At 51.5% G+C, this 13,920-nt stretch overlaps 1 protein-coding gene and 1 long non-coding RNA gene across 12 annotated transcripts in view, besides 2 other annotated features; both read right to left on the minus strand.

The window, feature by feature from the left end:
• The window catches only part of ASPRV1 (aspartic peptidase retroviral like 1), a 154,659-nt gene that overhangs the window by 26,434 nt on the left and 114,305 nt on the right, over positions 1-13,920 (minus strand). For 8 of the 11 annotated variants that reach the window (NR_170631.1, NR_170632.1, NR_170634.1 and 5 more), the window contains one exon: positions 939-4,350. The exons of 2 other annotated variants lie outside the window; for them this stretch is intronic. Coding sequence is in view for 1 of the 9 variants with exons in the window: in NM_152792.4 (NP_690005.3) it covers positions 1,507-2,286 (780 nt within the window). In the remaining 8 variants the exon portion in view is untranslated. Of the gene's footprint in view, positions 1-938; positions 4,351-13,920 lie in introns of those variants that run through there. One more of the 11 variants, NM_152792.4, reaches the window with a different exon arrangement.
• Positions 2,367-2,661: a silencer, noted in NCBI's record as "tiled region #1834; HepG2 Repressive non-DNase unmatched - State 22:ReprW". NCBI's record gives its function as "represses a minimal TATA promoter and a strong SV40 promoter by Sharpr-MPRA in HepG2 cells {active_cell/tissue: HepG2}" and the evidence as "EXISTENCE:reporter gene assay evidence [ECO:0000049][PMID:27701403]".
• Positions 3,113-13,920, minus strand: part of PCBP1-AS1 (PCBP1 antisense RNA 1) — a 125,946-nt gene continuing 115,138 nt past the window's right edge. The window contains exons 10-11 of the long non-coding RNA NR_033872.1: positions 5,081-5,277; positions 3,113-4,350 (exon numbers count right to left, since the gene is read on the minus strand). This is a non-coding gene — a long non-coding RNA (PCBP1 antisense RNA 1). The remainder of the gene's footprint in view (positions 4,351-5,080; positions 5,278-13,920) is intronic.
• Positions 13,003-13,880: an enhancer, noted in NCBI's record as "H3K4me1 hESC enhancer chr2:70199285-70200162 (GRCh37/hg19 assembly coordinates)". NCBI's record gives its function as "activates a minimal SCP1, AML or CMV promoter by ChIP-STARR-seq in primed H9 embryonic stem cells {active_cell/tissue: H9 hESC(primed)}" and the evidence as "EXISTENCE:reporter gene assay evidence [ECO:0000049][PMID:30033119]".

Below are 13,920 nucleotides of genomic sequence, written 5' to 3' on the forward strand. Positions count from 1 at the left end.
TGTCCAGGTGGGAACTTCAAGAGGCTCATTCCACCCTGGAGGATGGAAAATGGTCCTTCATGCCTCCATCAAGAGGTCTGGGATCCCTGCACGTTCGAGTCTCTGACCTTGCGCCAATCTTCCTGGGCCCAAAGTTTGGAGGGTGCAGGCCACCCTCCCCTGAGAACAGGCTCGCCCGATGTGCTTGGTGGGGAGGCCTGAGATTTGGAACAAACTGGCTCTTCTGTGGAGACTTTTGTCCACTCAGCTCCTCCCTTTGAGTTTCAGATTCCCAGCCCTGCTGCACTCCAGAAAAAGAAACAGAAATTTGGAAGCAAATACGAGATGGACCCCTAAAAGAGATGCACACCCCATTCCCAGATCTGGGAATGTCCTCCCCTCCATCAGGTCATCTAGTTTCAGGCTCTGTTCCAAGTCCCTCCAAGAAGAAGCTGACCTCCCACCGCCGGGACCCTGCCTTGCCACAGCCTCCCCCGTCCTCCAGCATGCCCTTGGGCTGCCCCACACAGGTCAACACTTGTCTCCTGGCCCTGCTTTCTGCCTCCAAGTTCTCGCTCCTGGACAGCTGTAAGAACCTATTTGCCCAGCAGACACTTTCCTGTTTGTTTATCATAACCATAATTTCCCAATCCCCAATCAAGACATCTCACATAAAACTTTAGGGTCACTTTTGGGTATAGAGGCAATTTGTATGCTAAAATACTACAGATTGAAATAAGTAGAGGAATTATGACGATTCAAAATAATGAGAGCAATTCTGGAGGGAATAAGTCAAAATATTTTATGCTGAGACTGTCTTAGAAAATCCAAGACCTGTCATCCCTGTGTATATGTTCTTATACCTCCAGCTAGGCACTCAGTAGACATGTGAATCTCCCTTGTCTTTGATGCTGACTCCCTCTCACATTCCTCTCATCCTCAATCAACACATTACATGGTTTTTCCATGAATCAATCTTTATTGGTGTTTGCAGCAATTGAATTATTGGCATAAGGCACAATGGGCTTCAAAGCAAATGACAGAAAGAAAATACGATTGTACAGGTGGAAAGGCTCTTCAGGGAGGTGTCCCAGAGCAACTGTGACCCTCACAAAGACCCTGCAGCTAGGACCCAGCCCAACTAAGACAGGCTTTGAGGACCTGAGAGTGACCAAGCCATACCTCAGGGAATCTGAAGGGGTCCCACAGTTCTTTCAAAGACAAGCATTTCTAGCTTCCTTGGGAGCTCTTCCAGCCTTTGAGTCTTTGTCATCAACAGCAGCTTGATGACCATGGGGACCCTGTCCCTCTAAGCCAGCCTGCTCTCCCTCACCTGTGCCTGTTCAGTGGAAGCCTCCCCTACCAGGGGCAGATTAAGGCCCCTGCAGAGGGAGGCAAAGGGGAGAGAAGAGCAAGAGTTGATAAGCAGACTGGCCAAGCCCAGTGACCCCCATGAGGATATGCAACCCCCCCCACAGCGGTGGGTCTTCCCACCAATATTTAGGAGGTTAAAGAAAAGGTGGCTTCTCAGTGGGATAGCTCCTGCCGCCCTTCTTCTGAGGAGGGGTCCTCCTCTATGAGCTCCAGGTCAAACTCATCTTCCAGGGACCCTCCCACAGGCAGAAGGCGAAACTTCTTCCCTTTCAGGGTGCATGTGCGGTGCTCAAAGTCCAGGATAGCATTGTGGTCCTGGAGCACATCAGTGCCAATGATGGCTTCCTCGGCACTCGCATTGGCCACTAGGAACTGTGCCTTCAGCTTCAGCTTGCCTAGGGACACCGCTGTATCCCAGACACCCAGGATCTTCATTTCAGCACCATTGGCCACCTTTACCACATTCTCAAAGGGCTGCAGGGTGTCCAGATCGCCATCAGTGACCTCCTCCCACAAGTTTGGGTGGACCACAGAGACCTGGGCCCCAGAGTCCACCAGGAACCTCACGGGCACTTTGCCAATCTTCCCCTTGAGATAGTAGCCCTTACCCATGCTGTTGGCAAAGACGATCTCTTTGGGCAGGTGGCTGGGGGCAGCCCCAGGGACCCCAAAGGCCTTCAGGAGGGCCTCTTTCACAGTCCCATAGTCTCCCTGGTCCTGGGGACTGAGCCTATTGTAGACACCCAGGGCCTCTCCTCTGAGGGACTCTTTCAGGAACCTTAGCTTGGTGATATGGTCCCAATGGTTGAGGTCATTGATGACTTCAAAGCTGTGCAGCCAGAGGTTTGGGACGACATTGGCCCCATCAAAAGGTTCCGGGACGAAGGCATGCTGCCGGCGGCCTTCCTCACTCCTGGCTCCGCTCCCGGCCATCCTGCTGCTCTCCTCTGGAACCTCAGCAGCAACCCACGCCAAGAAGAGAAACCCACAGAGCAGTGTCGGCGCAATCACGCTGGAAAACGGGGCCTCTCGAAGCAGAGTGGGGATGACTTGCCCGGCCTTGGGCAAGCAGGAGGGAGCAGGCGCGGTCGGCTGGCTGACTGCTGGGGCAGAGGCAGGCAGTGCTGTGGCCTGTTCACTCTGCAGAGCCTTTTTGATGCCTAGGCTGGCCCCTGGGCTCCCCATTCTCCTTTGTTCTGGAAGCTCCGCCCCTCCTCACCCCGCCCTCCTGCCAGCATCCGGCCGGACTAGCAGGATGGGTGCCTCACCCTCTGCATCCATCCTTGGACCAACACCAGCCAGCCCACATCCCAAGAAAGGCCAGCCTCTGTTGAAGGGGGACTACCCTGTACCCTCCCTGGCCTGTGTTCCAGAATAACAGATGAGGACACGGAGGATGTGATGACATTCAGGTATTTGTCATCAGCCAGTGAAGGAAGGGGAGGCAGGGACCAGACGCCCATCAGCTCAGAGACCGGGGAAGCCGCCATTGGCCTCCCCAACAAGTGACTACTTTGAGTGGTCAAAGGAAAACAGTTTACATGTACTGAGCTCCTACCACATGCCAGGCACTGGGAAGTGTCTCACACACATTCTAAAGCAGGTATGGGATCCTATGGGATTTCCTGGAGAGGGAGGCAGAGGAGGGTTCCAGCATAAAGAATGCACAGAAATGGTCTTTTTTAAGTGAGTGAGGACACACACACACACACACACACACACACACACGTGCACAATCATCTTACATGGACTCAACTGCTGCAGTAATTTTCCTTCATTGATCACCCCTGATTCAGAGGCAGAGGGGTGGCCAAGCAACTCTGGGTAGGCCCCATACTGCACTCCATGAGCATTGTCTCCACCCTATCCACCCCTCTCCATTTCCAGGAACTGTTCCAGGGCCCCTTCCCCAGGCACTGCAGCACTTCCTCTCCCACTCCCCAAGCTGGTCATTTGTGGAAAGATCACGGGAAATTTCACTCCCTTTTCATTCTGAGAGGGAAAATGTCCACTATGTTGGTGATGCCAGTGGTGAGGACCTGGAGGGCTCTGGCTCTGTGCCCCTCGCTGCAGGGGTAAAGGGTAGCACGGGAGGACATCCAGTCGTCTACAGAGGACATCTGTGAGTCCAAGGGCTGGAGGCCTGACTTGGGGCTGTGCAGGGGCTGTTGAAGGGATCCACTTTTATGTCCCCATTCAAAGGTCACTCCATGGAGCCTTCTGCCTGTCCCTAGAAAGGGCACCCACTCCTCGTTGAGCGTGTTTTACGGTGTGATCTGGTGGTTTGTTCACAAGTCTGCCTCTTGCTATGAACCAGAGTCTGGGGCTCACAAACCTGGCATTTGTGATTGTCTCCAGCCCCCAGAACAACTTCCTCTGGGACCCAGGGGCTCTTTGCTGGGCTCCAGGCCTAGCTGTGTGCTGTCACCAAACAGGAGTGATTAAGGATGGGAGAGGAGGAAGACTCGATGGCACACCTGTGGCTCTGGGGCTGTTTTTCCTGGCCAAGAGCCTGTCCCTCTTCAGCTCCCTATGCCATGCATCACCCAGTGCCTGGCGGAATCCCAGCAGTACCCTGCCTTTGGACAGTCCTGCCTCTGGATGGCCCAGGTCCCCAACCACAATGCAAGACTGTGCTGTCCCCAGCCCCTTCCACCTGATTCAGTGAGCCAGCAGAGAGGCAGTTGGGTCAACACCTCTCATCACAGCTGCCTGGCTAAGGTGGGGCCATTGTGGCATTCCAGGAGCCCAGAGGAGGGGAAATGGAGTCACCGAGAAGGTGTTGAGAGCAGGTGGTTCTTTGAGAAGACTGTATAATGAAAAACCTGCATCCAGAGAAATGGCCCAGCCACACGCAAGACCAGGAAGCCCTTTCTGCAGATGGACTTTTGCAGATAGCTTCCCAGCTGCTGGGATGAGTGTTGTTCTGTGGCTCAAAGAACTGATCCAGTGGTTTCCTGATTCCCTGGTATTCATTACCTCTGCACATCTGGTCCCCTGGAAGTGGAAATGAGTGAGGAGGTTAGCATGCGACCAAGGGAGGAGCGAGGCAGGTGGCTTGTCAGCTGACAAGCTGGGACTGCCAAATGCCCTGAACCGGCTTTTCAAACCATAGTGGTAGATGTTGAATTCCGATCTCCCTACTGCCCTTAGACTAGAAATCGGTGGTCCCTTGGGACCTCATTTGAGTGGGTTTGGTGTTCACATTGGCAAAGCATTTTACACACATCACCTCCATGAGGAGTATAACAACCTGGGAAGAAGACCAGCTCCGCTCCAGGACCCTGGAGCACAGGAGCTTCAATGGCCTCAGGTCCCAGGCTTTCCAGCGGCCAGAGAAGGGGATTTTGCAAGGACAGGGAGGTGAAGCGCTGGGCTGAGAGAGGTATAGCATAGGCGCCGGGGGCAGGGGTCTGGTGGGCAGTGGACAAAGAGCTGCTTGTTAAATATTCAGGAATTTGGTGAGTCAATTGTTAAACCAATTGGTACTTGAAATCAGACTTGGTGGAAGTATTTACATCACCAAAATTGGCAAATGCTAAATCAAGACTTTTTCCCCCTCTGGAATGCCAGTTCCATCACACCCCTGCATGGAAGCCTTGGTCACACTGACTCTCTAGGGCAGGCAAAGCACTGTGGCTGGTGATGAACAAGTTTATAGTAACCTCCACCCCTGCTTAGCTGCTTGGGCCCAAATCACCTCTCTCACCAAGGAGCCCAAGCCCACCTTGGCCCCATCCTTCCCCACAATCTTTAGAATTCTGTGCTGCTGTGGCTTGAGGCAGATGGCCCTTCGGGCTGTGTCTGTCCATACAGTTCCCTCTGGGACCTCCACAACAGAAACACGCAGGGGCCTCATGGTTACCGTGAGAGCTGGAAGGAGTTGGCATCAGCCTCTGGCCGAGTCTGGGAGTCTGTCTCTGGCTAGGATCAGGAACATGGGTAAAGGTCAGTTCTCAAGTTCCCTTATGCCTTGGGAGGTACCCATCCCTAGAACAGCCTGGAAGCACACAGAGACCTTGGAATGGCTACGCCAGAGGTGCCCCATGAGCTAAACCAGCCAGGGCAGGCCAGGTGCCACTACCTCCTCCCAGAACCTAGGAAATCATGGTTAATTATTGACAAGTATAGGTATTGGGGCGGGACACCCTCATTATCACCCATTAGCGTCTCCTGGGTGTACCCTGAAGCAAGCACACCGCACTGAACCCTGCAGGAGCAAAGCAGGACAATAAACAGGAAGGAGTGGGGCTCCCTACCCTCCACGCCCCCTCACTGAGATTTCTGGGCTGTGAGCTCAACCAGCCCAATTCTTTCTCAGCTCCCTGGTTCCCTTTTGCTGTTTCTTTTCTGCTGTTTTTTTGAAATTGTTTCACTTCTTATATTCACCTGGATCCTTTGCCTGCTTTAGTCTCCCTCAGGCCAGTTGGGCAAATCAAGACAAGCCCAAGACTGGGCCCATCAAGACAAGCCCAAGACTGGGCCCATCGGGCCTCCTGAGACCTGAAGCCCTTGGTGGGCAGTGAGTTCACTCCAAACACTTTATTATTTATTTATTTATTGAGATGGAGTCTCACTCTGTCGCCCAGGCTGGAGTGCAGTGGCGTGATCTCGGCTCACTGCAACCTCTGCCTCCTGGGCTCAAGCGATTCTCCTGCTTCAGCCTCCTGAGTAGCTGGGATTACACCACCACACCTGGCTAATTTTTCATATTTTTAGTAAAGACAGGTTTCACCGTGTTAGCCAGGATGGATCTCCTGACCTTGTGATCCACCCGCCTCGGCCTCCCAAAGTGCTGGGATTACAGGCGTGAGCCACCATGCCTGGCCCACCTCAAACACTTTAGACCAGGGGTCCAATTATTTGGCTTCCCTGGGCGACACCAGAATTGTCTTGGGCCATGCATAAAATACACTAACACTAACGATAGCTGGTGGGCTAAAAAAAAAACAAAAACAAAAACAAAAACAAAAACTCATAAACTCATAATGTTTTAAGAAAGTTTACAAATTTGTGTTGGGCCACATTCAAAGCGGGCAGGACACGTTTGCTTCAGATTGTTCCTGCGGCCTGACGACTTCCCAGAACACAGTGGCAGCTTGCACAGGAGCCAAGAGCTTTGACCACAGCGAGATACATTTGGAAATCCAAGGCACCTGCAGTTTCCTTATCCCCAAACCTAAACCCCCAGACCACCCATGCCTGCTCCTACCACCCAGCTGGGCACCACCCAGCATTCACAGTCAGTCATGGCCAAGGGCACACGGGCAGGACAGCTTGACCTTGACTGGACCCCCATCTTGGTCCCTGCCAAACCTCCTCAACATGAGCGTTCCTGCCACACTCCTCACCCAGTAGGCCAGTGTCACCGCTGAAGGACAGAGCTCTCCTGCCTGCAGGGCCCTTCCCCAGCTTGCCACTGTTCCAGAACCTGTTCTTCCCATTTGGGTCTCCCTCCTACCCTTCTTTGCCCCTAGCTCAGAACCCCTCTAACCAAAGTGGCCCAGCGCAGCCCACCAGCCAAATCCACTATGTCAGGAGGCAGCAAAATGCTTAATGCAAGTCCCAACCCTGGGGGGTCCTGGAGGTGTTTGGGGAGCAGTGGTCCTGGCCCCAGTGCCATTGCAAGCCTCCAGGCCTGGGGTCAAGGCCAGGACCAACCAAGAGTTGGTCAGACCAAGTTGCTGACTAACTCCTAGAAGTCCAATTTGCCAAAACCGGTTCTCCCCTGTTTTTATCTTTCAATCAAAGATGAAGATTACTAAGATGTCCTGAAGGCCTTCTCAGTCACCTCCTCAGGGCCCAGCCCTCCGAATTGGGTTTCTGCCTTTTTCCCAATTGCTGGTGCCCCCACCCTAGACCAAGCCGTCATCCTTTCCTGCCCCATCCTTGCCACGGAGGGCCAGGGCCCTGCCTGGCAAGAGGGGCTGGCTCTAAGGAAAGACCCTATGCAGATTCCCTTCCTCCCATCCCCTCTTCAGGGTCCCCTCTGCTTAACTGAGGTTGGGAGTGGGACTTGTAACACAGGTCTCCAGACAGCTTTGGGGACATTAAGTCACTTTTGACAAACACCCCTGCAATTAGTGAAATATTCAGGCAATCAAAACATTCAGATTGGGTAATCTCCAACTACAAGTGGGCTTCTAATGACACCAGGAAACTTGGCTTAGAGCTGAACACATAGAGGGCTTCTGTCCAACTTAAATACCTCAAAGGCAGCTTTGAACTAATCTGGAAATAGTTTGAATTGTCTCTAATGATAACTAGTATTGTGAGCAATTAAAACCTATCAAATATCCTCAGCACAGGAAGTTGTGTCTTTTCAATCAACTGCCAACCTAGCTTTGCTCCTAACATACAGAAGATGGGGGGCGGCGACAGAGAGGGGGTACCTTCCCTCTGGCATGTCAAAGTGATCCAGAAGATGTGGGAGAGGCAGGAGAGAGAGAAACGGAAAAACAGCAGAGCCCTTACATGTATAGAAATCTCCAGGTGGCTGGGCGCACCATCCACACACATGTATTGAGCACCTACTGTGTGCCAGACACCATGCTCGTGGCTGTAAATCAGTGTCAGGCACTCAGAGAGTCTGTGCCATAGACAGGAATGGACAATGCCAAATAGGTGGGTTGATTCAATTCCATACATACTTACTGAGGCCAACACCGCCTCACTTGGAGAGATGAATCAGACCTGCGCCCTACCCTCACAGAGTTCACAGATAAGTAAGAGAGACAGACTCCAACCTAGCTACTCAGGGATGAGCATAGGAGGTGCGGGGCACACTGGAGTCTTCCGGGCAAGATGGCAGCCCAAGGAGCCTCAGGCAACTCCCGCAACCAGGTATCAGCCAGTATCACCAGAGAAAAACAAACATGAAAGGAATATTACAGGGGAAACATGCAGTAGCCCTGAAACCAGGGAACAAGGGCATCCACAGACCAAAATCTTGGATTAATTTTTGTTGCTAAAGGCAAACCATCTGAGCGGGGGATGTGGATAGTGAAGGCCCTGAGAATGAGTTAGTGCATGTGGACGCACAGGATAGGATGCCTCGGAGAGATTGGGATAGTCTCTGGGTAAAATGGAAACAGTGTCTATGAACACAGAAAAAAGACTAGGAAGAAAGACACCAAAACAATGACAGTGGTTATTTTGGGGTAGTAGAATCATGAATGATCTTAACTTTCTTCTACAGATATTCTGTAAATATATCCTCTAATAAGAAAAAGTTATTTCAAATTAAGAAAACTTGTTCTTGCCATTTTCTGTAAGCTTAAAATTATTTCCAAATAGGCCAGGCATGGTGGCTCATGCCTGTAATCCCAACACTTTGGGAGGCTGAGGTGGGTGGATCACCTGAGGTCAGGAGTTCCAGACCAGCCTGGCCAACATGGTGAAACCCTGGCTCTACTAAAAATTACAAAAATTAGTTGGGCGTGGTGGCGCATGCCTGTAGTCCTGGCTATTTGGTAGGTTGAGGCAGGAGAATTGCTTGAACCCAGAAGGCGAAGGTTGCAGTGAGCTAAGATAGAGCCACTGCACTCCAGCCTGGGTGACAGAGCAAGACTCTGTCTCAAAAAAATAAAAAATAAAAATAATTTCCAAATAAAGTTTTTTAATAGGGAATAAATAGGAAACTTCTGTACCTTTCACTCAGTTTTGCTGTGAAATCTAAAACTACTCTAAAAATAAAGTCTATTAAAATTTTAAGTTTTTTAAAAGGTGCTTTAAAAACTGGTACATCGACCAGGCATGGTGGCTCACACTTGTAATTCCAGCACTTTGGGAGGCCAAGGTGGGTAGATCGCTTGAGGCCAGGAGTTCAAGGCCAACATGAAAACACCCTGTCTCTACTAAAAAGACAAAAATTAGCAGAGGATGGTGGCACATGCCTGTAGTCCCAGCTACTTGGGAGGATGAAGTAGGAGAATCACTTGAACCCAGGAGGTGGAGGTCGTGGTGAGCCGAGATTGCACCACTGCACTCCAGCCTGGATGACACAGTGAGACCCTGTCTTGGAAAGCAAACAAACACAAAAAAAACTGGTCCATAAAATAAGATTGGCAATATTAATTATTGTTAAAGCTAGAAAATAGATCTAAGAGGGTTTATTTGAGTTTCTCACCACTTTGGGGTGTGTTTGAAAATTTCCCATAGTAAAAAGTAAATAATAAGTAAGCAAAGGCTGTGCCAAGACCCTCCCCAGCCTGGTCTGCCCAGCTCTTGGCCCACTCCTGGGCCGTCTGCATGGGCCTGAGTCTTGGGCACTGGAACCCCTGGTCGCTGGGGACAAGCAGTCCCGACTGTGGCTCAGTGTCCCTGGTCTGTGTGGCGGCTGCTGAACGGACTCTCCCCTGCAGCATGGGCGTCTCCCAGGGCAGCCGCTCCAGCCTTGCACCCTCCCGCCTCGTGTCATGTACACTCTTTTCCTGAATCTCCAAATTCTCACTCTCCGTGGGTTCCCTGCCTTTATCCAAATTAGCACTCATGAGACTTTCACATCTTAAAAAAGAAAACCCTCACATGATCCTGTATCTCCTTGGTCAATGACCACTTGTTGCCTTCCTTGACAGGCAGTTTCTAGAAGGGTTGGTCCACACTCACAGGGCCAAGGTGCACAGATGCCCCACTGTGGGGCAGGTGGAGGCTGAGGCATAGCCTGCACTCCTCTTGCCAAGCCTATGTGCCAGAACGAGGGGTTGAATCTGCCTGGAGGAAGGGGTGCCCCTTTCTAATTTGCACACGGTGTGGCATGGTCCGAGGCAGCCCGCTTACACTCTGCCTCATGGTGTTACCTCCATTCACACACAAAGCCTCACCGCCCTCTGCCGTCAGCCTTGCCAGGGACATTGGCGGTTCCCCGAGGCTGCAGTCTGGCCCTCTCAGCCTCAAGGACTCTGGCCTTCTGAAGCCCTCGCACTGCTGTTTTCCTCCTAGGTCTTCTCTGCGCCTTTGGTTTCTGTATCCCAAGTTTCTGGGTCTTCTGCCACTACGACCACTCCCCTCTGTCCTTTGTGGGTTCCTCTCTCCCTGGATACTCACAGATGTGGCTCCCTGAGGCTCTGTCTACAGGCCATTCCCCCTCATTCCACACACTCTCCAGGCCAGGGACACCCCTCTCTGCACCGCTTACCCATCCTCTCCCCACTGCCCCAGCTGCCCACCTTACATGTCTGCCTACGAGTCCACTTTCAACAGTGAACATGCTGTCTTCTCACCAGACACCCTCTGCCTCCTGTGTTTTTTGTTTGTTTCGTCACCTAGGCTGAAATGCCATGGCTCCCTGAAGCCTTGACCTCCCGGGCTGAAGCAATCCTCCCACCTCAGCTCCAGTTCCACCTTAGAGGGGATCAGAGGTGCACACCACCACATCTGCCTAATTCTCTTAAATTTTTTTTTTTTTTTGGTAAAGACAGGGTCTCCCTACATTGCCCAGGCTGGTCTCTAACTCCTGGGCTCAAGCAATCCTCCCGCCTTGGCCTCCCAAAGTGCCAGGATTACAGGCATGAGCCACCACACCTGGCTCTCTGTGTTCTTTATCTGGCAATGGCACTACTATCTAGCCAGCCCTCGGAGTCACAGACACAGGGGGCTTCCTCACCTCCACCCCTTTCTCACGGCCCCACCTGGACTGCTGGGTCGCCAGTGCCCTCAGCTCCTCCTCCTGAGTCTCTCTCCTGCCTCCATGCCTCTTCACACCCTGGCCTCAGGGCACCCTGCTGAGGTCGGTAGTCATCCTACAGGACTCCTTGCCTCCTGCCTCCTCTCCATTAATCCACCCTCCTCAGGCCACCAGAGTCATCTTCCAAAGATGTAAGTCTGCTCATGCCATTCTGCTCAAAATTCCTCCATGGCTCTTCATCCCAAAATAAAATCTTGACACCCAACAAGACTCACGAAGTCCCCCTCCCTAGTTCATGCTCTACCTATACAAAATGGCGTGTAGCTCCCCAAACAGGACGGGCTTTCTCATACCTTTTCACAAGCCACTCAGCCAGATGAGCCCTCTGACACCCCTGTTCTCCTGGCAAACACTGAGAAGTCAACTAAGACACTACCACCTCCAGGAAGTCTCCTTTGATTTCCCTAGCAAACTCAGGGTCTCCCTCCTCTAAGGTGCTATCATAAGGGACTGCCAGGCCCAGCTCCTCTCTGAGTTGCAGCACTGGTACAGTCTAAACATGAAAGTCCCGGTGTTTCTTGGCCTTTGGTCTCATCCACAACCTGCACATCCTCCAGCCCAGGCTGTCCTCACCTTTTTCCCATGAAGCATTGCCTGATCTTCCTCAGCAATTGCTTCTGCCTCGATGGCTTTGAATATCAGGCCTGGCAGTGCTCTTTAACTGCAGATGAGCAGCATTCAAAGTTGCCTTTTTTTGGCCGGGCACAGTGGCTCATGCCTGTAATCCCAACACTTTGGAAGGCCGAGGCGGGCAGATCACCTGAGGTCAGGAGTTCGAGACCAGCCTGGCCAACATGGTGAAACCCTGTCTCTACTAAAAATACAAAAATTTGCCAAGTGTGGTGGTGGGCACCTGCAATCCCAGCTACTTGGGAGGCTGAGGCAGGAGAATTGCTTGAACCTGGGAGGTGGAGGTTGCAGTGAGCTGAGATCATGTCACTGGACTCCAGCTTGGGTGACAGAGTAAGACTCTGCCTCAAAAAAAAAAAGTTGCTTTTTTTTACTGTACTCATAGTAAGAAAGACATTTTTCATCATAATCCAGTACACATATCCATGAAGATATATGTAGCTAAAACAAAATGTATTTACTATGTGTAATATACTCTGATATTTTCTATTTGGGGCCACTTCTTTTTTAACTCTTTTAATGACACTGAAAACTAATCTCCCAACCCACTAATTGATCCCCACCCACCATTTGGAAAACTGCTATAGCCAGCAGGGATGACTAAGGGCTCCCAGCAAGGGATCAATGTGATTAGAATAGAACGTTAGGACCCTGCCTCTCAAATGTTCTAAGGCGCAGGATCGTTTTGTAAATTTCCAATCTGTCACATACTTTACTATTTAAAAACACAATAAGAATGAATTATCTGAAGGTAAAATAACAAAGATATTTAAAAATGCAAGTCTAGATTCATTATAATTAGATTCAACAGACAGTGCGGGGTGCTAAGAGCATCAGGTGCAAGAATGTTTGGGGAGGCCGGAGATGTGAGGCGGCTTTGCCAGCCTTAGGATGCCCACAAGCCCTTGACATGTAGCCAAGCCAGCCCTGCCAATCTCCGTCCTGGAGCATTTGAACTTGCATCATCTGGGGGAGCTTTGCTGAGGAGAAAGGTGCCTCTGCGCAGTCTTTGGCCTTGTCAAGAGGGCCAGGCTGCCTAAATTCAACTCCTGACTCAGCCACTAACTGGCTGCAAGCTGTGGACAAATGACTTAATTCTTTCAAGCCTTGGTTTCCTCCTAGGATTGTCCTGGGAGATTATTCAAGCAATCCGTACCATGGGGCTTAGCCAGTACTGCACCTGGTTACACTCGACCCTCTTGCTTTCATGGCTGTGATTCGGTTGCTGTCTTCTAGGTTTTCTTTACCATTTTTTTTTTTTGAGACGGAGTCTCACACTGTCACCCAGGCTGGAGTGCAGTGGCGCGATCTCGGCTCACTGCAACCTCCGCCTCCCGGGTTCAAGAGATTCTCCTGCCTCAGCCTCCCCAGTCGCTGAGATTATAGGCGCCCACCACCACGCCTGGCTAATTTTTTGTATTTTTAGTAGACATGGAGTTTCACTATGTTGGTCAGGCTGGTCTCCAACTCTTGACCTCGTGATCCTCCTGCCTCAGCCTCCCAAAGTTATGGGATTACAGATGTGAGCCACCGTGCCCGGCCCTTTTTTTTTTTTTCAAGATGGAGTCTTGCTCTGTCGCCCAGGCTGGAGTGCAGTGGCGTGATCTCGGCTCACTGCAACGTCTGTCTCCCAGGTTCAAGTGATTCTCCTGCCTCAGCTTCCCAAGTAGCTGGGATTACAGGCTCCCGCCACCATGCCCGGCTATTTTTTGTAATTTTAGTAGAGACGGGGTTTCACCACGTTCGCAGGACTGATCTGGAACTCCTGACCTCAGGTGATCTGCCTGCCTCAGCCTCCTAAAGTGCTGGGATTACAGGCGTGAGCCATTCGCCGGGCCTGCCGTCCTCTCGGTTTTCATGAGTGTTCTGCAGTCCTCCTTACTCTTCCTCGTCCTCCCTGGTCCCTTTTCTTGGCCCCACACTGACTACTCTACTCAGGCCAAACCTTCACCCTTCCTCACTTCTCCACCTCCTGCTTGCAGAAGATGGCTTGCGTCCTGCTTGGCAGAGAAATGGCGAGCTCTCACTCCACCCTATCCCAGGTTTTCTTCACTTCTCATCCCTTTTCAGGGACTCTGTGCCTGGCCAGGCTAATCCTTCCACCTGAGGCCCCCTCCAACCTCCTCAGTAGCCTCTTTCCATCAGCCATTCCCACCCTCTTCTGGGAATCTTTCCAGAGTCAAATCTCTGGCCACTCCTCAGACTAAGGCAACCTGCCCAGTAGTATGCTGGTAGATGTTTAATTAACAATG

The sequence above is a fragment of the Homo sapiens genome, chromosome 2, assembly GCF_000001405.40.
Source record: "Homo sapiens chromosome 2, GRCh38.p14 Primary Assembly".
NCBI lineage: Eukaryota > Metazoa > Chordata > Mammalia > Primates > Hominidae > Homo > Homo sapiens.